This window comes from Homo sapiens, chromosome 8 (genome assembly GCF_000001405.40).
Source record: "Homo sapiens chromosome 8, GRCh38.p14 Primary Assembly".
In the NCBI taxonomy this organism is placed as follows: domain Eukaryota; kingdom Metazoa; phylum Chordata; class Mammalia; order Primates; family Hominidae; genus Homo; species Homo sapiens.
Window position 1 is genome coordinate 121,622,794 of NC_000008.11, and position 26,203 is coordinate 121,648,996.

A 26,203-nucleotide genomic window follows, 5' to 3' on the forward strand; every position below is an offset into this window, starting at 1 on the left:
ATTTTCTATTTATGTGAATTCTAGATGAATAGAATTTACATATAAACATATAGCTAAGTTAAGCAGCCTCAAATTAAGCAACAAATACAAAATCATAAAATCTAAACATTTTAGAGCTACAAAAGCTTTTTGAAATTAATGAGTAAAACCATTCCAGAAAAAAAAAAAATAGTCCTCAATGAAAACATCATCTTTCTTTTGCGAAAGGAACGGGGGATGGGGAGGAGGTTCTTCCCTTGTAGTAATTTGGTTTATGGTACAGGATCTCAAATCTAGCCAACAGAAAGCCTTTACATTATAGACACCTGTGCAGTTTGGTACTTCTTTGTAATTCTTCTTAAAAGGAATTAGGAATATACAAGCCTTCCTTAGTAGAATGAATTATCCAAATTATTATAAAATAATTCCTGCCTTCAGACAGCCAATCTCTTCCAATTATTAAAGTGAAAAAAAGGAGTCATTTGGTTATTCTCTTTTCCTTTTTAGCAAAGTTGAAAATGAGTGAAAGTTATAAAAGGTGCAAAACAAAGGTGACGAGCCAGCTGGAAAAGTGAGAAACCAAATGCTGTCACCTCTAAGGCTTAAACCATGAAGGACCCTTATTCCAAATGTTTGGAATTCTCATTCTAAAGAAGGGAATCAGGGAAGCTCATAATGGTGCCCTTAAATCAAGATTTATATTCAAGAAGCAATCTGGGGGGAAAAGGCAGATTAAAAGTGAGAGTGAGACACACGATAGTAACCAACAAATGAAAATTCTGATATCCCTTTTTCTTTTGATCTTGCTCTAGCAGAGCTTCAGTATTTGCTAGATATAATTAAGATGTCAGAAGAATTACACCAATACTGACTTAAGAATCTTGAGCTGAAAGACATCTTAGAGATCATCTGGTCTACTACCTCAGTTGATGATTCATTAAGGCCAGGACCATAGCAGGTAAACAACAAAGTTGGGTATAGAATTCAGATTTCCTCATTCTTATTTCAGTGAGCTCTTAGTCTTAACCTCCAAAATGAAAGATAAAAATAAACTTACTATTCTCAATACTGGCCCTCAGAATATTTCAGTTGCTCAGGCTTTCTATACAGAACAAAACAGGAACCAGTCAAATGTCATACGCAGTTGATTATCATTATTTATGGTAGTTGTATTACATAAAGTTGCCAGGAACACTGAACTGGAAAATACTGAAAATGTGCTTCTAGCAGAAACACAGGGCTGGGTTCCTCCGAACCTCTGGCCACAACATTTTGACAACATATAATCTTGTTTTATCTGTGCTTCTGTTTATATGTACCTTATTTAATATACATATAGTTGGTTCATTAATATTGAACTCATGTCCAACAGCACGATATCTCATGCCTAAAGGAAATTCATCTCCATGAGGTGTATCACAGTCTTCTTGTGCTTAGATAGCATTTCAGCATTACAGTTCAAGGCCATGTTAAAGAGCTACATCACCAAGGAAAAGCACAAAAAAGGGAAAAATGTGGCACTAAAGAGACCATGAAGAGGATAATTGTTTACAGTATAAAAGCTGAAACAAGAAGCCAAAGCATCACCTTGTCTGACCTCAGCTGGAACATGCACATTGGATGACTCAAATTTTTTGCCACTGTGTGCTTGTCAGCAAATGACCACCTACTGACTGCAATTATTGATTTTAGGGTTACAAGTACGTTTTACTGAGTAGACAAATTTGCAAATACAGAATCCAGTAATAATCACAGTCAACTCTACTGTTAGGAATAATAAAGCCTTACATTTTTCCCCAAAGAATTCTGGATATGTAGAATGCTGTGATATTAAATCAATAGTGACATTTCCTCCGATAATCTTCCAGCTTAGAAGATGTTCATATTTGTTATATATTTTCTACCTAGGAAGTCCCTAATGCAGACATCAGGGGATACTGTTTTATGTTTTCCTTTGTCTCATAGACTGGTGGCCACGTGAGTGGTAATACGCATGTTCAGTAAGAGACAGGAATAAAGCAATTATATAATCAAGACATCCGGCTGGGCGCAGTGGCTCACGCCTGTAATCCCAGCACTTTGGGAGGCCGAGGCGGGTGGATCACGAGGTCAGGAGGTCGAGACCATCCTGGCTAATACGGTGAAACCCCATCTCTACTAAAAATACAAAAAAAAATTAGCCAGGCGTGGTAGCGGGCGCCTGTAGTCCCGGGTACTTGGGAGGTTGAGGCAGGAGAATGGCATGAACCCGGGAGGCGGAGCTTGCAGTGAGCCAAGATAGCGCCACTGCAGTCCAGCCTGGGCGAAAGAGCGAGACTCCGTCTCAAAAAAAAAAAAAAAAAAAAAAAGACATCCAAATATATTTTACGTTTTCTGATAACACTACTTAAAAAATATAAAACATTAACATAATCCCAAAGTGTTCTAAAAACAAGGGAAAAAACAGAAAAATATACATTGGAAAGTGTCAATCAGTTGGGTATTTGTTTAAGATAATTTTAATTTTGTTCATTGTACTTTTTTAATACTTTTAAAACATGCTGCCATAAGCCTGTGTTACTTTTGTAAATAAAAAAGCCAGTATAAACACTATTTCAAAGAGGTACAAACTTTTGTCCAACATTAAGCCATACTCAGAACAGGTCAGAATCTATCCATTTTTAAAACAAAGTTTCTCTAGAAAATACATTGATTCTGAATTTTGAAAATCTTTGTCACTCTTAAAAAAAATTCATTCCCTTCAACTTTTTTTTTTTTTCCATTTTTTGAGACAGGATCTTTCTCTGTTACCCAGGCTGGCATGATAATGGCTTAGTACAGCCTGGACCTCCCAGGCTCTAGCAATCCTACCTCAGCCTTCCGAGTAGCTGGGACCAGAGACATGCACCACCAAGTCCAGCTAATTTTTTTTTTTTTTTTTTTTTTTTTTGTAGAGATGAGGTCTCCCTAAGTTGCTCAGGTTGGTCTCGAACTCCTGGGCTTAAGCAATCCTTCTGCCTTGGTCTCTTAAAGCACTAGACTTACAGGCGTCAGCCACCACACTGGCCCTCTTTAACTTCTTTTCTCAATTTATTTTTTCCCTTCCTCTGTTTTCTATCTTCTTTATCTCTGAAAGTACCCACCAGCATCATCAGATAAATTTGCTACCACACTGGGTTTCTCTGTGACTAGTGACTCCCTTACTGTTCTATGTCAGCATTAATTATTTGAACAGCTACAGGGCCGAGAGAGCAGTCGGTAGAGAAGACTGGAGATGAAAGCTGAGACAGAGTTAGAGCTGGTAGCTGTTAAAGCTTTATTCCCAAGGAGACAAGAGGAAGCAGGCCCAGTGGTCTCAAGAGCTAGATCAAAAGAATAACTTTGAGACAAGAAGTGAGGTTGGATACTCTTGAAACAGTTTAAGAAGAGAGTAAAGATGATCTTGACAGCATTCAGAATTAGTACTTTTGACTTTCTCTTTAGTAGGAGGCAAGGTCATCTGTTAGTAGTTAAGCAGAGAGGAGTTTGGATAGGGTTTTGGGAAAGTGGTGAAGGTATGAAATAATAGGCTATGAGAGCAATAAGCAAGGCATCTATTCAAGACCAAGTGAAAAGAGTGCTGAAGAGTGCCAAGGATTCGGCTGCAACTGGAAACCAATCCTTTTGGCCATCTCTCTCCACAGTTAAGCAGAATTCTCCAGCAAGTTTGTAAGCATGGTCAATTTCTTCCCCAGCCCCCATTTTCTCTTGTGTATTACCACCTGAACTTTGTTTCCTTCTTTCCCTAACCAGCCTGCACTCCAAGTTCCATCACTTGTAATGCTTAGCAGCCAACATCTTCAAACCCCTTTTCCCTTAGTTGTCTTTCTGTGGTTTCTGCTTTGCAATTCTCAAATCCTGGGACACTTAGAATAGAGGATGGGAGTGGTTAGTATTGTGAATTGAACCTTAGGAAATTGCCATTTTTATAGGTCACACATGGTTAAATATCAGGGGATTTACTGAGGGATGAAAAGATGGAATTACCAGTTTCAGAATGCTAAGAGATTTGTACTCCTGTGTGAGTGTTTGGAACTGGCTGAGAGTCCCAGGAGGCATCAGGGCCTAGTTAAAAGCTGCTGGTCGGGTCAGTGTATCTGGAGACTTCCCCTATCTCAGCCTGGAGGAAGAAAAGTTCTCAAGCCTGATTAGGGCTCTAGCAGGAGGCCTATTCTAATATTTCATATTTTGTATTATTTTTTTCCTGGACAGGCACAGCATAAAGTTGCCAAGGATACAAACAAAATTCAAAACAAAAATGATGGGAGAAGAGGGTTTGGGAGGAGCATGTTTAAAGAAAAGGAAGAAAAAACCCTCAAACAATGAGGCCTTGATTAGAAATGACAAATGTAGCAATTGTTTTAACTAAAATTAAAGACAAAATATCAAAACAGATGTTTTCTCATTTAAAGTCCAGAACTTCATTTTTCATATCCTCTATAAGTTCTCAGTCATCCTTTCCCTTTGAAAATAGCCTATTATCCTCTCATCTAAGCCCAAAGTTGTACTATGTAAATACCAAATGTCCAAAGATAACTGAAACTACCTTAACTTGGAAGTTTTACCTTTGAGAAATTAGGAGAAACTTGACAGAGAAATGCTCCCAGCTGTCTAGAAGGGAGATTAACATAATGAAGAAATGTCTCTAAACTCTTCAGACATCAACTGAAATTAGTCATATGGTGGCAATTGACAGGTACTATAATTTGAGCAAGGACTAAATGATAATAAACAACAATATTAATATAAAAAGCTTTAATTATATCAATGATAATATCATAAATAACTTTTGCTAAACACTTGGAACACATTAATTTATTCTATCCAGAAACTGAGACTCAGAGAGGTGGTCTTGCCCACGGTCAACCAGCTAGTAATCTCTATGATTAGAACTTTGGTCAACTGACTCTAAAGCCAATGTCCATTCCTATCTCACTACTTGACAACCACTAGGCATGACTCTGTGGCAGTAAAGGATCCTAAAGAATAGGATGCATCTTCTAAAAACTAGAATTTCACTAGAAATTCTAGAGGAGAGGAAGAACATCCCAGTGCCTTTCTTAAACCGGAGACATTTTTCCCCTCTCAATACCATCATGGCCAAAATCTAATTATTATAAAGTATCTGCAGAAAATTAAAACTAGAAACTCACAGGGACCCTACTAATGTTCTAAAGAAGGAAGCTTCAATGAGAACCAGGAGAGGAGAACCCCTATAGTGAGCTTTCAGGAAATTAATGGGAGACACAGCCTGTCTAATTTTCATGCAGGCAAACACCATCACAAATGCTTTCAAAGGTCAAGTTGCAGTGAGTGAGGTAATGCTGTTTGGAGAGTGAAATAAACATTACTTTGCTTTTGCTCGAAGATTTTTTTTTCTCATTTTTTGTTTTCCTTTTCCTTCTCTCAATTTTAATTTTTTTTTTCTCTTTTAAATGAAAATTGTTCTCACCACCCTCATTTTGCCTCATTTTGCAGTCTCTGTGAAAAACATTTTATAGCCTCCCTTCAGCCTGCAGATTTTCTCAAGACCCTTCTGCTCAGGCAGACACTATTTTCTTACAAAGCTGGAGAGTTTTAGAGTGTGGAAAATGATGTTGGATTTGACTTGGCAGAACCAAGGGGGCAGAGAAGGTAAAAGAGGGGGAGAGAAGGGAAGGAAGGGTCTCCTGTCAAAATAATCCTGATTTTTAACCAATAACACAGCACAAATTAAGCATGTTCATAGATAGTCTCAACAGTTTTACAAGTTTTTTTTTCCCTTTTTCAAAATGTGCTTTCAACAGTCATGCTGTTTTCAAATGAACTGAAAGAAGTACTGTGTTCAGAAGGGACAAGGATGGGCTATAGCATATGACTGGACAGATACAAAAGCGGCTTTATTTAAATGTATGTTTGCCCTGGCAGGAATGTGGAGACCTACCTGTACATAATCCACACTTCGTCCCAGTGCTCTGAAGGCTGTGTACATGACTTCTCTTTTTCCACCCCATTTTTGCATGATGCAGATACTTTTGTTGGACAAGACCAATTGCGTTACGTGTTGCGAGCTTTCTTTATGTGACTCATCTGTCTCACCGGGACCCTTTTCGTGGAAGTTGTTCTTCCAGATATAAGTGGCTGATTTGTCTCTGCCCATGACTTCACTGAAGATGTCCATCATGTAAAGGTCATCTTCTGAGTTCCCATCTATGACCATGACAACTTTAATCCCAGGGTAGGTTAGCCTTTTCACAGATTGCAAACATTTCCTTAAGTAGTCTGGATCTTCTTGATAGGCAGCGATGCAAAGGGCAACTGTTTTGTTCAACTTTATGGGGGTTTCTAGGGATTTTTTCATTTTTCGGTGCTCCAAAAAGGCAAACAGGCTTTGGATGATGAGGTGTGATGCCAAAAAGGCACCATACAGTCCAAAAGAGAAATAGTAATTATCCGTTTGGATAAACTGGTAGCCAACAATATAAGCAGCTGTGATTCCAAGGAGGAGAGAGACTCCAAAGAGTGTGGTTCCAATTATTCTCAGGATACATAGAAACCTCTCACAATGCATCTGTAATATAATCAGATGATACTCTTGGTTAACCATGATTGTCCCACACTTGTTATATACCTAGTATCATGGGGAGAGTATTGGACTAGAAGCATTCAGGAGTTTTAACACTCAATTTCTCGCCCAACTCATTGTGTGACTTTCTGCACTTCAGTTTGCTCATCTGCAAAACAGGGATAAGGATGCCCTTCTAGCATACCTCAGAGGGTTATTTCAAGAGTCAAATGAGATGATGGTACAGCATACTACTGAATGCCATAATGTTTTAAACAAATACTGCATACATTGCTTTAATGTGTTATATCACTTGCCTAAGGCTGTACTCTATATATATGTGGTCATAGCCAGGCAGGGACCCTGAAGTTTCTAACACCCAAAGAAGTCATTCTTCTATATAGTCCCCTCACCCCTTGATATTGGCCAGTGAAAAAAATCCACTGGAGATTTTGCTAAATTTCTCATGTGTAATTTAATCTCACCTCCAATGTGTATTCTTCAACTTACATCCTTTCCCTGCAGCCAGCTGAGATTGGAGATCAGGATACTGGGTTCTAGTACTAGCTCATTAACTAACTGTGTGACCTTGGGTGAGTCACCATACCTCTCTGGGTCTCAGTTGTTTTGTAAAAATATCTGTTAAATGAGGGATTTTAGAATTGAGTATTTTTGAAGTCCTCACTGACACTAAAAATCTTCCATCCCTAAGTACCCTGCATAGATGTCTATTAAAGCCCCGTAATTCTGAATTATACTCCTTTGTTCCAAAGTCTCTCTCCTCCATCCGCCATCATGAATACTAGATGATTAGATCCTGAGCATCATGAACCTTACTGGAACACAGTAAACACAATAAATGTTTGTAGAAATAGTGAATACATTAAAGGACAAATAACATCATGATTTATTTCAGCAAGTGAGTTTCCATCCTGTTAAAAGCCATAGCACATTAGACCTGAAACACGTTTCCACTCAGTAATAGTCAGTTTTGCAGTCACCCCTAAATTTTGTCTATCTCCTGAAAAAAGTTTTAAACAACTCAAGGACAAAAGGACCATTTTTCCCAAAACATTTGTATTTCCCAAAGGATTTGTATTTCCCAAAGCATTTCCAATGCTTAGCATTAAAGTGGTGGTTGGCAACCCTTTTTATTTCATTTCTTTCCTCCTGGAGTTTTATTTTCCTCCTCTTCCAAGGATGAACTATCAAAGAAGATATAATTGGTATAAATGCAATATCTTCATCTTTAGTCATTCGCATCCATTTTTGGGCTTTTCTCATATTTACATGTATTTAGTGCTTAATCTTTTTCTTTAATTCAATTGATTTTTAAAAGCTAAATAAGTTTATTTTAAATAGAAACTTAGACTAAGCAATTACCTTTGCAAAATCTTTTGCTTGATGTGCTATTTATAATTTCGTAATCCACATGCAAACTTAACACTGACTGTTCACACAGTATCCTCTAGGCTATCAACAGCTGCATGGCCACCACGTTGCTCAGCTCCAAGAGGCACCATTCACACAGTCACCTGCTATTCCCTGCAATTGTACATTGAGAAGGTCCTAAGGGGATCTGCACTGTACTTTTGGGAAACCTTAGTGTGGCTTCTTACCAATTGTGTTACCTTTCCTTCCTGAGCATAGACTTGGTATGGCCAAGTCATTCCAGGCTTTGGAAATCTGAGATATGCCACTTCCAGTAAGATCTTTTAAGAAAGAGAATATACCTCCTCTCATCTCTCTGGCCCTTCCACAGGCTTGATACACATATTAAAAATGTTTTAGGGAATTGGAAAGCCCCAAGATAGATGGAGCTTGGTCCTTGGATTGCCATATGAAAGGGAGCCACCCACCAAACAGGAATACCTGCCAAGGACTCTTACGTTGGCACAAAATAATTTCTGGATTTTTGTTTGTCCATTATGCATTTGGGGCTTGGTGTACTGCACTAGTATAACTTAAATAATGCAAAGTGCCCTGGACATCAGGATTCTAGCTTGCGGACGTCTCTTTTTTATTGTTGTTAAATGGAAATAACAGAACTTGTCAAAGACCCCACAGGACTGTGGTGAGGAGCAAAATGGAACAGTGTTTATGAAAGTGTTTTTAAAAACCAGAAATGCATTGCAGCTTAAAGGATCAGTTAACCAGGAAGCGAAAAAGCAAACACAACAAAAAGAAAATTGGTGTTCCACTTCTAGCAACTATATGGGACACCATAGCGTGTAATGCAGGAGTCTGATAAATGTAACCTTAACCCAAGTGGAAAGTTTAGACTGTTGGGGAATGGTGAAATGCTGAGTTTTCAGTGAAAGGCAGGCAAGTACGGCATCTCTTGTTAATTAACACAGCTGAGGGGATGCTGAAAACTCCCACATGGTACATTAACCAATGCCTGAAGGTGCTGGGAGCACCAGACTTGGAACTTGTCATTTCCAAGACGTGAGTCATTCTCACAAGAGTGAAAAATTTCAAGGGGACTAAATCACTTTGCCAGGGAGAAGCTTAAGTGTGTATTTAGCTTGTGTTTAAAATCACCATAGCCAGCAAAAGAACTGCCTGCCATTCTTTTCCATTATTCACATTTTCCTTGCTTTTATCAGCACACGTGGACATAGAGAGTGTTGACATAGCATCTGCTGGCCACAGCTGAAGTGGGAACACCCTCTTACATCATAAGACTCTACAGAATGTCCTTTTGAAGCTTGGGAAAAGTACTTTACTAGCATACCACAGCAACGTGGCTAGAAGTGAACCTTTATATTTCTGCAAGATATCTCAGTGTTGTCTAGTATGGCACACACAGCATCTTGGTACAGACCAAAAGGCAAAAGGCACATTTTAGAGCCAGCTTTGCTGAGGGAATACATTGATCTCAGGGAGTGACACATAGGACGTGTTTCTTTATAATTTCCCCTGGGCAATTGCATTGATATGGGCACCATGTGTTAGACTTTCTGAGACAATCCCCAATTCAAATACTCTGTTTCATAAGCATACTCTCCTTGTCAGACATATGACTGTATAGTTAAATTGGAAAATAGAGTTAGTTCAATCCTAAATTATAAGTACTTACTACTAGGTAGAAAGATGATTTTGAAATCTACACTCTCTAAATATTTAAAATTAAAATTTTAATTTTTCCCCCAGTATGAGACTTTGGCCTACTAATTGATACCAAATATTTACTAACTTGTGTTCTCCAGAGAATTAGGCCAAACCAAGTGTTAAAGAACAGCTTGCTATACTATAATGTATATCATTATATATATCTCCACAAAGTCAATGGAGATATATAATCTGTTTTCACTAACGTGTCCCAAGGACATAAAACACTGCCCAGCTTATAGCTGCTGTTCAGTAAATATCTGTTGAATGCATGAGTGCAAATTTACTCATCATCATCATCATCATCATCATCATTATTATAATGGTGGCTAACATTTATTCATCATTTATTAGGTTTCAGGCAGTGGGGCAAGTTTCTTTTTTTAAGCATAATCTTATTTACTCTTAATGACTTTGGGTGGTAAGCACATTATTAATCTCATGTTACAAATAACTATGCATATAATAAAGAAACCAAGACTCTGGGTATTTAATTAACTTGTTATAGTCAAAAAACTAGGAGTTGGATCCACACAGTGGCATAAGGCCAGATAATTATTCTCAATAAATTTGCTGAATATATTTGAATCCTCATGACAAAATAGGTGGCATTCTTTCGTTTCTGGCTAATAAAATGTCATCGTATAAGGAAAGATTAGAAACAAACTTTGAAAATTGTTTCCCTACCTTTTTTTTTTTTTTTTTTTGAGATGGAGTCTTGCTCTGTCACCCAGGTTCCCATGCTGGAGTGCAGTGGTGCAGTCTTGGCTCACTGTAACCTCCCCTTCCCAGGTTCAATTGATTCTCCTGCCTCAGTCTCCCGAGTAGCTGGGACTACAGGCATGCACAACCATGCTTGTGTAATTTTTATATTTTAGTAGAGATGGGTTTCACCGTGTTGGCCAGGCTGGTCTTGAACTCCTGACCTCAGGTGATCCGCCTGCCTTGGCCTTCCAAAGTGCTGGGATTATAGGCATGAGCCACCACACCCAGCCTGAAAATTGTTTCCCTACTGTTATAGAAAATGGGAAATTGGCACTCACTCAAGTACAGACACAAGGCTAGCCAATACTGAGATTTCGGGCTCATATATTTTCTATGTGGAAACGACCTAAAGAGACATGAAAAGTGGTTGTTTCAAAGGAAGAGCCTGGTTCCATCTATGTAATAGCAATTCTGCTCCTAATGCCAACAGCCAAAATCCTGTGTTACCATAAAAAAGGCACTAGTGTTCCCACTTCTTCCACCTGTGGAGCAGATATACAGCCTTGCCGTTGGCTCATATACCCCAGTGGGACTCTTCAGGTCACTGGACCTCGAAGCCATTTCCTCTGCCTTGACCTTTTTGTATTAAGCAGAGAGTGAAATGTTGGATGAAAGGAGAGTAACATCTACTCTCACTGCCCCAGTTCAACAGTGAGAATTGAGTTCAATGGAGTTACCCTAGTTTTTTGTTTTTTTGGGTTTTTTTTTTTTTTTGAGACTGAATTTCCCTCTTGTTGCCCAGGTTGGAGTGCAATGGCACGATCTTGGCTCACTGCAACCTCCGCCTCCTGGGTTCAAGTGATTCTCCTGCCTCAGCCTCCCAAGTAGCTGGGATTACAGGCATGTGCCACCACGCCTGGCTAATTTTGTATTTTTATGAGATGCGGGGTTTCTCCATGTTGGTCAGGCTGGTCTGGAACTCCTGACCTCAGGTGATCCACCTGGTCTCGAACTCCTGACCTCAGGTGATCCACCCGCCTCGGCCTCCCAAAGTGCTGGGATTATAGGTGTGTGCTACCGTGCCCGGCCAGAGTTACCCTAGTTTTCATAAAGTGGTCCTTCCATTTTGGATCTGGAAGAAGCTGAAATGAATTCAAATTTATTGAGTCAGCATCTGGGAAAGACTACAATTAGGTCTGATGATACCTCTTCTGGGAGGCCTTAGCTTATCTGTCCTTCTAAAGCAACTCCTCCACCCTTGCCCTCTCTTCACCCCCTGCCATGCTCTCTCCCCTTAACCTGCTTGATTTTCTAAGTAGCATATATATATATGTATGGCCGGAGAGTACACATGCACATACTCTATGGCCAGGGGAGCTTGTGTAGTTCAATTATTTGGTTTGTCCTTGCATGAAAACCAGGGCTTGGCACATAGCAGGGACTCAATAAATACATTTTTAATAAATAAATAAGCCCATTTGGACTCAGGCAGTCAATGTAGACTTACAGACACAGGTCCTACCCCAATCTTTACTGCAGAGGCAATGAATATGTAGTAGAGACAACCAAGCCCTTAAGGGTACCCCTCAAACAGTCTTTTTTTTTTTTTTAAGAAACCATCCCCATAATTTTTCACCCAGATGTCTAAAGGTAATGGTTATGGGGAGTCCCAGAACAGGTCTAGAAGGCCTTTGGAAAGCAAAGATAGAAAAGGCAGATGGTCCCCAAGAGCATTTACAGGGATTGTAAGTTGCAATCTGAGCTATCTTATGAGCTCAGGGTTCAAGTTTGGGGCATCAACTTTTATCATCTTGAATTCCAGTACCCTTACAGTGTTTATTGTCTATTAATCCATATGCTGCTTTATATTTTGGCTCCAGTGACTTATGAGCATGTGTGCATGTATGTCTTGTCTCTTCAACTAAATAAATTATCTAGTATTAACCAGATTAGCAAATATTTTGAAGTCAGTTATACTAGTGTTCAAATCCCAGCTCTGCCATCTACTACCAATTTCAGAGAATTTGACCTCTGGAACCAGACTGAGTTGGGATAGAATCCTGGCTCTTCCTTTTAGTGGCTGGATGACCTTGAGCAAGTTATACAACACTTGTCATCTTCAGTTTCTCCATCTATAAAATGGAGCTAATCATATTGACTCATAAAATAGATTATGAGATTTAAAAAAGGAATCTAAGTACATATTTTAAAAAGAAATTATCAACAATTAGATCTTAGTGATGTTAGCTTCCTGCCAGTAACTACCTAATAACCCTGACTCTCCTTCCACTTAACCCATTACTTATGGGTTAACAAGTAATAACTATGGCATGATGAAAAGAATAGGAGGACTGGGAATCAGAAGAAATGGATTCAAGTCTGCACTCTGCCTCATATTAGCAACCTGGCTCAGACAAACCGCTTGAGGGTTCTATGAATAAGTCATGTGTCCTTGGACAATTCAATTAATATCTTTGAACTTAAGTTGTAAAGTACACTTGCGCCTCTTATTCATTGCGTCTCTTCATCCACTGAAGTCTAAGTTCAGTGTCTTTTCAACTTTTGGCCAAATATTTAAACACACAAAGGCACAAAAGATGATGAGACATTTAAAGAATGTTTATCTAATGAAGGCGTGAACTGGTTCTAAAACATAGGCTGTCTTTATGCATAAACTCATGTTGTATGGGAGAAGGGGCCATAGGCCTTAAATCATATGCATGATAATTAGAATTGGGAATATTTATCTAGGCTGGTGACACTAGCAAGGATAACAGAAATCTGCTTCTAAGCAGACATACTCAGGTCAGGTGGTAGCTATCTGCTGGCTGAGTGGATTAGGAAGGTATGGTGAACAAAAGGTTAAAAAGTAGTGGTTCCCAAATTTTGCTATATATGCAAATTACCTGCAAAGCCATAAAATTTACTGATCTGTGGCTCCCACATTTTGAGTTCATTGATATGGGCTGTGCCCAGGTCATCACAAGTTTTAAAATCTCCTCCAGCAATTCAGCTATATAACAAAGTTTGGCAACCACTAGGTTAAAGTAAAATAAGACTTTCATGACCTCATTCACATTGATACCCATCCCTGATGTGTATTCCCTCTGCTACTGTCCCTACGTAGAAATCTGAGATAGGAGGACCCAAATGAAGTCTCCCCGCAGCAGTCTTCACATTACAGCACATTACCCCCTGGAACACAAATCATGAACCCTCCCGACTCCCCCTCCCAACCTCCCTTCTCCCCTTCTGACCTTCTCTTCCTCTCTGGCTTTGAAGTCTGCCTTTTTCTCTCCAGTCCCACTGCAGTTATCCTAGCAAAGACCCTTGAGCCAAGCTTCCAGGGTTAGTATACAAGCCTTTTTTACAGGACTTGTCACTCCAGCGGTGTCTGGGTTCAGAACTGTAGGTTTCAGATTTCTTTTCCTTTGCACCATCTATATTAATAAATTATTTTTAGGATGTGTGTTCTTCCAACTGCTCTACTGGTTCCTGAACTTCACCATCCTAAACTTAGTTCACAGTGTAGGGGAAAAAAATTACCAAATGACTTGACATGGAATCTTAGTTTTATATGTACCTACATTGGCTCCTGGGAATTATATCTATAGGTCAAAACCCTACCTACAGAGCCAAATGTAGCACAAACGCCAAGTCTCTTTAGGAAATCTTTACTGATCTCTTTCAATCAGATGTGACTTCTCAATTTGAACCCCCATAAAACTTGACTAGTGCAGCTGCAGCATAAATTAGCATGAATTCAATTCAAGGGCATTATATTCCAAGAATTCTTGGATTAAATTCCATCCACACCCCTTATTAATTCACTTTGAGTGAATTGCTTAACTTTTCTGAGGCAAAGTTCTTTTACTTATAAAACTTTCTTTGCAGATTAGGATTAGATATATGTATGTAAACCATCTAGTTGAGTGCCTGAAACATACTAGACATGTGATAAACAATAGCTGTTGTTTCTTATGGGCCAGATCATATTTTGTCTTACAGTATATTTTAAAATTTCATTAAATACACTTTTAACTCATTTTTTAATTATCTGCAGTACAGATGTATTCAGTTAAGAGGCATTCATTAATAAATTTACTTAATTTAAATAAGAAAATATTTAACAGTGTGGCCTTGTTATATTTAATTGACTCTCATCAGTAACATTCTCCTAGATGGTGGGAAAGGCAGTATATATATGAACTCCACATGACTACCATTCAAAATAGACTTTTTTTTTTTTTTTTTTGAGATAGAGCCTCACTCTGTCACCCAGGCTGGAGTGGAGTGGTGAGATCTTGGCTCACTACAACCTCCACCTCCCGAGTTCAAGAAATTCTCCTGCCTCAGCCTCCCCAGTAGCTGGGATTACAGGTGGCCACCACCACACCTGGCTAATTTTTGTATTTTTAGTAGAGACAGGGTTTCACCATTTTGGCCAGGCTGGTCTTGAACTTCTGACCTCAGGTGATCTGCCCTCCTCAGCCTCCCAAAGTGCTGGAATTATAGGCATGAGCAAAATATGCTTAAATAATTTAAGGCTGTATGCAGTAGGATAATACTCTACACAGATTGCTGCTAGAAGGGAAAGGATAAAATACCAAGTTGGGGTGATGGAAATGAGTTCTCTACAGGTAGCTGTCCCTCCACTCTGTTGGCATACCAGCTGCCACCAACTCTGTCATTGACAGAAACACGGCATGGGTTTGCATGGATAAAAAGAGAACCCAGAAGGAGACATGGGGGTTATGCTCTGTCCTCTCATTACTTTAACTCAGGGATCACACTTCATACAAGAGCCAGAAAGCTAGTAATGTAACAAACTACTTGTTCTTAGACTTTGAAAGTAAATGTGTAATATAGCTTTGAAAAAGGGTATGTCTACCTTGATCCATAGACAAAGGACTTTCCCCAGAGTGCCAACAACAGGAAATAAATGAACCAGTGACAAGTAAGTGTTTAAAAATTCAAGAAAAAAATTTTTTTAAAAATCTTACCTAGTAAGGAAACCATGTATGGGAAAGTATTTATGAAATTCAATACTATGGGGCTATATTCTACAGACCTAACAAAAATGAGTGGTTCCAACTAACTTACTTTCTAGTAACAGTTTCTTATTCACTTGTTGCACAATTCCCAATTTCCAGGAAGGTAGCTGACTAAATATCTTTGCTTTATGGAAAGTGACCTTAGAGTTTAATGCTAGTCACTGATTTGTTAAGTCCTTGAATTTTTATAAACTGCATAACTTTCTTTGATAAAGGGATTCGACTCCGGGTACAGTACAAGCAACTCAGGTAATATGCATTTGTCAGCACGTCCACAATATATTTTTCTATTTACCCGACTCAGGTGATATCTAAGAAAAAACAAATAGGGGGGATGATACTTTAGTTACAATATTTTGTTCTAGAAATGTCCACTTAAAAATCAGAATTATCTGTCCCAGAATTGGAAACACATACAAAACATAATATATAAACGCAACAGGTAACTTAAAGTGTTAAATTGTCATTGAAAATGTAAAAGAATCGCCAAACTATTGGGAAAACTTTTGGTGGAGTATGATGGGTACTCAAAATACAGTACCTCAGCTGTACTGTAACCTTATTAAGCTCTAGAAAAATGTGGTGAAAACTAATTTAATGAATGAGTCAACTTGCACACATTGGAAGGAAATAAAAATTTGGAATTTAAAAGTTCTTTTCAATTCAAGTCATAGAACTATAAAAAAATTGTATCTACAAAGAGGTTGATGGACTTGGATCTATGGAAATACATATTTTAATTTTAAACCTGGCATCGTGTATGTAAATATGTGTTGACCTTTTTAAAATAACCTTTTTTAAAAATAATAACCTGGTTTAATACCGCCAGAAGTACTTATCATATGCCTTAACCGCAGTGAGAAATCTGAGCCAAAGCCTTGGAATGTACAATGAGCAGTGAAGTTGTCTCCCTCTTAACAAGCGGCCTCACTCCTTCAGCAAAGCCCATCTACCAACTTCCTTCTCTTTATTCTAACACTGAGCTGATGGTCTATATATACTCAGGCCTCCAGTTGGGGGAAGCCCTTGGTGGCCAATCGGGGCTTCCCTATCTATTGCGTCACACCTCCCCCGTGTGTGACGTCAAAGGCAATCCCAGCCCAGACACGTGGGTTGGAGCAGCGTCGCGTTTCTGGGCAATTGCTCCTGAGACCCAACAGGCAGCAACGGTCCCAAGGGTGAGGGAGTGGGCAGGGAGAGGCTGATGGGGCTTCTACACGTTCCCTCCCGTAGCTGGGCTGCTGCAGCTCGTTCGCCCCAGAGGCGCGCGGTGTCCTTGAGTCCAAGTATTCAGCGCGGACGTTTGGGGGACGGAGGGAGAGGCGCTAGGGGAACTGGCACCTAAGACTGTGTAATAGGACACAGGTCTTGCAAGTCCTCCTCCCCAGGCACCGCCCCTGTGCTCCCAGCGCCTCTTTGCAGCTTTAATTATCCTTTCAGCGCCGTTCCCCCGCGGCTGCGTTTCCGTGGTCAGAGGAAAAAGGCTCTTTCGCCTCCCGGTTCTCACCCTCATACAGACCCTCCTTTCAGACCCGCCCTCCTGTTCACAGGGACCCATTTCGGAGCCCTGGCTCACGCTGGGCGGGAACTGCCGTGACGAATTCCCCCCAAGGTGTTGATTATCCATCCCAACCCAGCCTCTGGCTTCCCTCCCACCTCCACCCCAGCTCCCACAGGCCCCTCGCCCCGTTCATCGGCTGGGCGCTCGAGACGGCGCCCCCAGATCTCCCACCGGGCAGTGTCCCCAGCTGCAGCTGAGGAGAGAAGCGCCGGCGTGCGCGGTGCCACGTCGGAATTGGCTCTGGGGACGCCGCAGCTGCCGAAGCGCAGCGCGCGGTCCCCACGCACGCCCTGCCTCCGGGCGGCCGGCGGGCTGGCCCGGCGAGGAGAGGAGGGATGCGCGCCCTCCTCCCGCTCCTATCTGCGGGTGCCACCGCCTGCGTCAGGGACCCCTGGCCCGAGTAAGCCCAGACTGACGAGCCTGACACTTTAATGGGGTGCGGGAAGTGCAAAGGAGGGGAGGCCCGGGAAAGGGGGGAGTGGCCGAGAGGGGATGGTAGCTGCGAGGAGGTAGAGAAGGACCCTCCTTCTCCAGGGTCCCAGCTTGTCGGAGCTGGAAGCCCAGATTGCTTAACCCTTTGCATTCCCAGCAAGAAGCGACTTTTTCACTTAGAAGTAAAACGCGCTGGGCTATTCCAGTTTTTCTCCCCACAGTGTGTGTGTGTGTGTGTGTGTGTGGGAAAAAAAGAAGGGAAGGGGTGGGGCGGCTGTGCAGAATGCATTTTCCTTACATTGGGAATTCTTGTTTCCTAACTCTGGAGCCCCTCTGCTGCTCCGGAAGATGCAAAATGGAAAAGTACATCTGAGGACGTGCAGCCTTTCCCAGGCAGAGAGGCTACCTGTGTCCCCAGAAAGGCAGCGGATTTCTGGCGAGAGCCGCAGAAATGGGAAAAGAGGGCTATGTTGCTAAGCCTGACAGTGACCTGAAATATTCCCTGATCTTCAGTCTGTTGGAAATTTTTAAACTTCCAACTTTTCTATCGAAACTGGCTTAAAAATTTTAAAACAATTATAAGGATGTCTTCCTTCTCCCTGGCCTGTTGGAGGACCTTCATCCTTCACCAAAACGCGCCAGTGTAACGTACCTTGTTCAGCTCTTGGTCATAAAGTCGTCCTCAGCCTGTCTGTGTGGTCCCGGAGGGTCGGTGGCGGGCAGTTTCCAAAATTGAGGTAATAAGAGATCAGATGAATTTGAGACGACCGGCCAAAAAAAATAAGAAATTTAAAAACAACATTTAAAAAGGATAGGGGAGTCTTAAATGTTTGATTCTTCCCCACTTTAAAAAATAATTTCACTAATATTCTCTTTATGTTTCCGTTGCACTTCAGTCTAATTCTTAAAAAAATTATGCTTTAAAAATAAATTAACTTTTCTTTTTTCTTTTCTTTTCTTTTTTTTTTTTTTTTTTTTTTGGGCTTCAGTCTTTCTGCCCCCGATAACAGAAAATCTCTTTTTCGTCTTAAAAAAAAAAAAAAAAAAAAAAAAAGCCTGTGGAAGACTCAGCAGAACCCAGGAAGCGCAGAATTGGGAGAAAAGTCTTTGGCTGGGGCTGTTTCAAGTCTCTGGTTCAATGGGCTGCTCGAAGCCAGGACTGGGTAATTCTTTCCAGACGTCTTGACTTCTCCTTCCCCGCCGTTGTTGCCCTTCTGCCTCCTCCAACTTAAGGGGGTCTTAACAAGTGAGCTGGTGGGTGTTTTAATAGGGCGGCGGAGGGAGTGGGGGGGTGAGGGAAGTGGAGAGGGAGGTGTGGACTGGGGAACCCTGAGGGGAGGGAACTGGGAGCGCGGGCGGGCGGGCGAGCGGGAGGCGGGGAGGGGGAGAGGGAGAGAGAGAAATTGGCCATTCAAAGCCTTCTCTGAGCTACAGGCCGGTTCTAAACTCCAATGAATTCAATTAACTTGATTGCTAACGTGTGCAGAGAAATGCAAGACACATAGGGGGCCACCACCTGATTCCTTACTTTCCTCTGGCGGCGGAGGTGGGAGCCCTCGCCTCTTGGATTTCCCTGAACTCCCGCGTTACAAGTTCCCTCCAAGCGATAAACTCCCTGTGGCGCTGAAGTAATTTGTTTTAAAGCCAAATGGTGCCCTTCAGCTAAGTAACCGACCCAAGGAGGAACAGTTGGGAGGGGTGTGTGCACGTGTGTGTGTGTGTGTGTAAGTGTGTGCGTGTGTGTGTGTACCTGGAGCCTTCGACAGCCGGCTGGGACTCTAAAAAGATCGCGCTGGTCCACCACTTGTTAACCCTTTCTTCCCGCCAACTCAAAAGTTTCTGAGCTGACGTCAAGTGTCAAAGCCTTTCTCATAAAGAGGTTTCTGCCGTGGGTGGGCGGAAAACATAGAAAAGTAATTATATGTATATTTTTGCTCAATCTGGTCCCCTAACGTAAACATACTCAAACAGCGCGCATTAAAAATAAAATAATAAAAATTGTTTTCTGGAGGACTTATATTTAGCCATCTTGAAGGAAATGGCTTAACTGGCTTTTGCTTTTTGCAAGCCTTCTGCAAAGTTGACGAGGACAAATATGTCTTGCTTGGAGATGGCCTTTCCTCGTCGTTTTCACAATGCCCCAAGGCTGGGTAGAGTTCGTTTTTTGGTTACTCCTCCCCCCACCACTCCGCCTCCTTTCTTTCTCTTGGACCTTGCCAACAAGCCTGCTGATGACTGAAAATGGACAGTAGGTGGCACTGTTGAGGAAAAAATGAGAGTGACTTTACAAATTAACCAACTTGGTCTTGGGAGATTGCGCTGAAATTGTTATAGGGTAAAACAGATTTTTCTTTCTTTCTTTTTTCCTTCTTCCCCTTCCAAGGATCTTCTGAGGGGTGGACTTCTTTGGAACTCGACAGGACCTTGAAGACTGGGTTCTTAGTCCTTATCACATATATGGGCTATAATGAATAAGTCTAAACAGAAAAGTCGAATAAACTGGAAATGATGCTTTCATCACGTCGCACAAGGTGTAGTGTTGGGGGATGTGATTAGGGGTCAAGCATTTTAGTGCAATACCAGGTAGTCAGCCATCCCAGTCCCCAGGGGCTGACCTGCAAAGTACTGCGCGTTTCCGCCCCCTTCCCCCCGCCCCCCCCCGCCACGCCACACACACACACAGCGGTTACACCTCTGGGAAGCATTACCTTGGCCTGATGACTTCACGCTGCTCAGGGGACCCCACTGATTTCCCCCAGCAAACCTTCCTGCTTCAGCCTTTGTTTGAACTCCGCCTTAGGTGGTTCAACTCTTGGAGAGACTGGCTTAAATTTCAGATCACAATTTCATCCCACTTAATCAGACTCGAGCTTCCTGATTCAGTTTTTTGGTAGTTTTCAAATGCTAAACTATAATTTTAAATATATCACCTAACTTCTGTACTCTGACATATAACGTGGATTAAACTGATTTAGAGGTAGAGTGGAAATTGTGGGGTGCCAAGTGTCTAGCTGTGAGGCCCCAGGGGGACACTTAACCTTCCAGCTCTAAACTTTCATGAATATGACACGTAATGCGGGAATACCTATTATTGCCTACTAGCATTTAACTGTGCTGTGCTAATAGTTCAAGCAAGAAGCACATTTACTAAAACTGGTTTTCTTTATTATAGAAAAACACATTTGTTGTTTCTCGCCTCTTGTAATTCATGACCCATAAGACAAAAGTAAAATGTTCTCTGACTGCAAATGGATGTAAAAACTGATTATACAGCTACACATTTCTGTCATCCTCCCATCTCTACCCCAAAGAAAGAGGTAAGAGACTAATACAATGTGAAGCCAGAGGTGAAAGTTATTTGAAAGCAAACTTTCAAGTTTGAGAGAGACTTCACATTCAAATCCTATCTTTGATGTTTGCTGTTTGTGAGATCCCAGGAGCATATTTTACCTCTCTGGATCTTCATTTTCTGGTTGATAAATGGAGAAAATAGCTACAAAGTGGTTTTGATGATATAATGTGTTAAACTGTATTAAGAGCTTAGCTCAGTGCCTGCAACATTGTGGGTATTCAGAAAAACATTAGTACTGCACTCCTTTCCTTGCCTTCTATTCCTTAAATTATTCTTGGTGAGCATTAACCATGGTTTCATTCTAGGTTCTCTTATTTGACCTACTTCAGCTTTCTACTGTCCCCTCACTCTTTTATTTTTATTTTTTATAGAGATGGGGTCTCACTATGTTGCCCAGACTGGTCTCAAACTCCTGGGCTCAAGCAATTCTTCTTCTACCTTCCAAAGTGCTTGGATTATAGGTGTGAGCCACTTTGCCTGGCCCCTTCACTCTTTTAGATTGACTTAGTCAGTGCCCATGAATATATCCCAGACATTCACATTTAATGCAACTTCTTTTCTGAGTCTCAGGCCAAAATTACAACTATCCGTCATGGAGTACTGATTCACAAGCACCAAATTAAGAGACATTAAGATCCAGTTTCACAAATAAGCTATGGCAACAACCAATTGAATAACATTAGATAATTCACCCTTAGCTTTCTATCTTACAGGAGCTGTTTGGATCAGAAGATGACATCCTTTCACCCATCCCTTTCAGGTTTTGACATCCTAAAATGTACCTTATGGAACCCATACCTGTTATGTTTTCACCTGTACAAGGCAACAGAGAAAACATGGTAGTTTTTACTTGAGTAGATGTGACTTAGCAATATGTTGTTGCTGACCTCCATCCCACAGCACAAAACATATGTTTATATGTCTGACAGACAAAGTATCCAGAACAAGGATTTAGTACCTTCATAATCCTCTGTATATGTGGTTCTAGAACTTTTGGTAAAGAAACTCTTTATACTCTTATTAATTATTGAGAACCTCAAAAAAAGTTTATATGTTATATGTATCAATATTTACCACATTAGACATTAAAGCTGACTTAAAAAGTTAAAATACTTAAGTCATTTGAAGTAATAATAAATGCAGTTACATACCAACTTAATAACATTTTGCGAAAATAGCTATTTTTCAAAACCTAAAGTGAGAAAAGTGGCAGTTTTCCATTTTTGCAAATCTCTTTGCTGTCTAGCTGATAGAAGACAGCTGGATTCTCCTATTTGCTTTTGCATTCAATTGTTGTTTTGATTGAAGTATATGAAAAAAAATCTGGTGTCATACACATATATAATTGGGAAATGGAAGAGTATTTACACAGGCTTTTTTAGATATTCTTCCTTTATACTACATCAAAACTTGATAAGTTGCAATGTTGTGAATTGGCCCAGGGCTTGGCCCTCTGAAGATTTGCTGAAAATCACTGACATGAAGTAGATTAATAGGATAAAAGGCATATACATTTATTTAATGTGTATACACAGCGGCCTTTAGAATGAAGACCCAAAGATACAGAAGAAATTGTCTGTTTTTATGCTTAAGTTTAACAAAGAATGGGCAGCCGTGTAGAGATAGGATAGGACAAAAAGGGCATAATCTAATGCTAGCTGACTGAGTGAGGAAGCCCAGCAAGGCCTGTCAGTGTCTCCTCAGTATGAGTGAATTTTGTGTACTCTGATAATACATTAAAATCTGTTTATGTACTCTGATAACACATTCAAATCTGTTGTTCTGTTTTATACTTTAAATGCATCTTTTATAACCGTTTATGAATTTGTAATATTGTGTATTGATTATCTAAAAAATACAGGTCCAATGAGTTATTATTTTTTTTAATTTTTATTTTATTATTATTATTATTTTTTTTTTTTTTGAGATGGAGTCTCACTCTATCACCCAGAGCTGGAGTGTAGTGGTGTGATCTCGGCTCACTGCAAGCTCCGCCTCCTGGGTTCACGCCATTCTCCTGCCTCAGCCTCCCGAGTAGCTGGGACTACAGGCACCCGCCACCACACCCGGCTAATTTTTTTTGTATTTTTAGTAGAAACGGGGTTTCACCTTGTTAGCCAAGATGGTCTCGATCTCCTGACCTCATGATCCGCCCGCCTTGGACTCCAAAAGTGCTGGAATTACAAGCGTGAGCCACCGAGCCTGGCCAGGTCCAATGAGTTATGCAGATTTTCTAAATGTTGACACATTTCATTTTTGATAACCCAAAAGATCACAATCATTAATATTACCACAATCTCATCCAGTGTCTTCAAATATTAAGAATCTGTCATGCCCATCATGGCAAATACAAGTTCCCCAAAATTCTAGTTTTCTCTTGAAAGCTCACATATTATCATTAGCAATAAATACTGTCAGTTGCTTGCATTGTAGTGACAGGTTCACTTCATTCAATTAAAAAAAAAAAGGCTTCCAAATGCCCACATTTGAATAATAGTAGTTTGTCTATTAATTATTCTTTCAAGTAAAAATTATGTTCCATAATAAAAGTGGCCAGTTAGTTAAGGCTTGCAACTCAATCACATGAAAGCTTTTCCTCCAGATAACCAGGGTAGCTGGGTGTGCAGCAGACTAAAGATGTCTTCTTTACTGTGTCCTTTCTGTTTCTTCACACAGAATGTTAAAAAGCCAAATACTCAAGGATTAAAATTTAATAAAATTAAAACTATTGGCTGTACGTGGTGGCTCACACCTGTATTCCCAGCATTTTGGGAGGCTGAGGTGGGTGGATCACCTGAGATTGGGAGTTCGAGACCAGCCTGCCCAACATGGAGAAACCCCGTATCTACTAAAAATACAAAATTAGCTGGGCATGGTGGTGCATGCCTGTAATCCCAGCTACTCGGGAGGCTGAGGCAGGAGCATCACTTGAACCCGGGAGGCGGAGGTTGTGATGAGCCAAGATCGCGCCATTGCACTCCAGCCTGGGCAACAAGAACGGAAATCCATCTCAAAAAGAAAAAACAAAAAACAACTATTTACTGCTCTATCAAGGATCTTCTTAAATGAAACTTGCCATTTATTTCCTAGTGAGGGCTTGGGGGTAAAGCATGTGAGAATGACTGCTAGTACAGTTTGCTACCACTGACGATTTTCCAGCTAAGGCACTATCAGTTTTGCCCATCATTGTCTCTGCATCATCAATATAAATGTCAACAAAGTGAAAGATTAAAATGCCTTAGAATTAATATTAAAATCATTTTGATGCCCTGAAAGGGCTTCAGGGTCCCCCAAATATCTACAAACCACATTAGAAAATACTGGTTTGTATTAAGCATACCAAATGCAGTAGTGTACAAATCTGATTGTTTTACTTTGAGAATATAGACAAACTTTTGCACATTGAGAAGATACCTAGCAATAAGAACAGGAATATTGATAGCAACTCTGTTTCACGATGCATGGCTATAGGAACTAGTAATGTTTAGTATGACACAGAAGATTCAGAGGACGCAAGAGACACTGGGAAACTTATATGCCTTGGATACACATGTGAGATTTAGCATATGCCCTATGATCCCAAGACTGTCTGTATACCACTGGGGATTAAAACAAACATATTTCAGCTCTGCAAATGATGGAGTCTGACTGTGTAAAGATGGGAAAGAATTAACCTGAAATTTAGTTTTCTATTTCCAGTTTGCGTGAGGCAAAGGGATTTCCAGCATCTCATAGAAATTGGACTACTTGCCTTTTAGTGTTAATTCCAAGGCTGAACTCCCATGGCTCTAGAATTAATGCGGAGAAAATTTTGAAGATGGTATGGCTGTATTAATGATGGTCACTAGATTTTAAAATGTGAAGAGACGGAGATCTAAGCATTTATCAGACACTCAAGAAATTGGAATGAACAGATTGGAAGAGATTAAAATACTCATTGATTCATTGATATAGATAGAGGAAGATCATTTTATTTATCATTGTAGTTTTTGAAGATTTCACTATATCAGAGTAGTAATTTGTCAATCTTTGATCCTTTCAAATTAGACCCTGAATATTATTTGAGTTTTTTGTTTGTTTGTTTTTTGAGATGGAGTTTCACTCTTTTTGCCCAGGCTGGAGTGCAATGGCTCCATCTCGGCTCACTGCAACCTCTGCCTCCTGGGTGCAAGCAATTCTCCTGCCTCAGCCTCCCGAGTAGCTGGGATTACAGGCATGTGCCACTACACCTGGCTAATTTTGTATTTTTTAATAGAGACAGGGTTTCTCCATGTTGGTCAGGCTGGTCTTGAACTCCCGACCTCAGGTGATCTACCCACCTTGGCCTCCCAAAGTGCTGGGATTACAGGCGTGAGCCACTGCGCCTGGCTTGAGTTATTTTTTAAGGATTTTCAAAGTGGAAATGAAAGGAACAAAAATCCAAAAGTCATGGAAAACTCTTTATAATCATCTCTCGATAGTCCTTTCCACAGATGAGGAAATTAGCTTTAAAATATTATATGACTAAAGCTGTACCCTAAATGGTAGGTAGGTATTCAAAAGTATTTAAGGTCAATAATTGTGATCTGATTGACAACAAAATCATCAAACATAGCCATCTGGATCACTTACTGAAAAAGAAAGTCCTGTATTTTTGAACTTTACATTATATCGCTGAATAATTATGTAGGAGCAAAGTTTCATATTATTGAACAATTTAAATCTTAAGAATTATCTCCAGATTCATGTGTGTTTCAGATCTAAGGGCAGAAAGTTATCTTACATAGCCTAAATAACATGTTTATCAGTTGTATTTTTCTGGACCCAGATTATAGAAAAGGACAAAACTATCCTTAATTTAAAAGTTAGCAACTTCTGTCAAGAAAAGTTTGTGCTTTACAGGACAAAACAACAATAGCAGAAAGTGCTACTCAAGGGGAAGGTTTGTAATCTAATCGTCCTTTAACATTTTAATGGCCTTAATTGTAATCCCTAAAGATAAGATTTTAAAATATGTGTGTGTGTCCATAGCAATTGCTAATAATCTCAATGGGGGAAACAGATTAAGATCTACATTATAGAAATAATCTTCCTTGGAAATCATATGGCATTTTATCTTATTCCTGAAAAGCTTAACAAGCTTTCCAGCTTTTTATTTATTTGTTTATTTATTTTTTTTTGAGATGGAGTTTCGCTTTTGTTGCCAGGCTGGAGTGCAATGGCGCGATCTCAAGTCACCGCAACCTCCGCCTCCCAGGTTCAAGCGATTCTCCTGCCTTAGCCTCTTGAGTAGCTGGGATTACAGGCACCTGCCATCATGCCCAGCTAATTTTTTTTTTTTTTGGTACTTTTGTAGAGATGGGGTTTCACCATTTTGGCCAGGCTGGTCTAGAACTCTTGACCTCAGGTGATCCGCCTGCCTCGGCCTCCCAAAGTGCTGGGATTACAGGCGTGAGCCACTGCGC

The 26,203-nt window shown here is 40.4% G+C and overlaps 1 protein-coding gene and 1 non-coding gene across 2 annotated transcripts in view, besides 3 other annotated features; one reads left to right on the plus strand and one right to left on the minus strand.

Moving 5' to 3' along the window:
* HAS2 (hyaluronan synthase 2) overlaps positions 1–18,647 on the minus strand; it is a 29,325-nt gene extending 10,678 nt beyond the window's left edge. The window contains exons 1-2 of the mRNA NM_005328.3: positions 18,060–18,647; positions 5,921–6,547 (exon numbers count right to left, since the gene is read on the minus strand). Coding sequence (NP_005319.1) covers positions 5,921–6,547 — 627 coding nt within the window. The 5' untranslated portion in view covers positions 18,060–18,647. The remainder of the gene's footprint in view (positions 1–5,920; positions 6,548–18,059) is intronic.
* Positions 16,103–16,603: an enhancer, noted in NCBI's record as "H3K4me1 hESC enhancer chr8:122651136-122651636 (GRCh37/hg19 assembly coordinates)". NCBI's record gives its function as "activates a minimal SCP1, AML or CMV promoter by ChIP-STARR-seq in naive H9 embryonic stem cells {active_cell/tissue: H9 hESC(naive)}" and the evidence as "EXISTENCE:reporter gene assay evidence [ECO:0000049][PMID:30033119]".
* HAS2-AS1 (HAS2 antisense RNA 1) lies at positions 16,553–22,532 on the plus strand. Its single transcript, NR_002835.2, has 4 exons — positions 16,553–17,375; positions 18,397–18,653; positions 19,791–19,938; positions 21,473–22,532.
* Positions 16,604–17,104: an enhancer, noted in NCBI's record as "H3K4me1 hESC enhancer chr8:122651637-122652137 (GRCh37/hg19 assembly coordinates)". NCBI's record gives its function as "activates a minimal SCP1, AML or CMV promoter by ChIP-STARR-seq in naive H9 embryonic stem cells {active_cell/tissue: H9 hESC(naive)}" and the evidence as "EXISTENCE:reporter gene assay evidence [ECO:0000049][PMID:30033119]".
* Positions 19,306–19,929: an enhancer, noted in NCBI's record as "OCT4-NANOG-H3K27ac hESC enhancer chr8:122654339-122654962 (GRCh37/hg19 assembly coordinates)". NCBI's record gives its function as "activates a minimal SCP1, AML or CMV promoter by ChIP-STARR-seq in naive H9 embryonic stem cells {active_cell/tissue: H9 hESC(naive)}" and the evidence as "EXISTENCE:reporter gene assay evidence [ECO:0000049][PMID:30033119]".
* Positions 22,533–26,203: the final 3,671 nt, after the last annotated feature.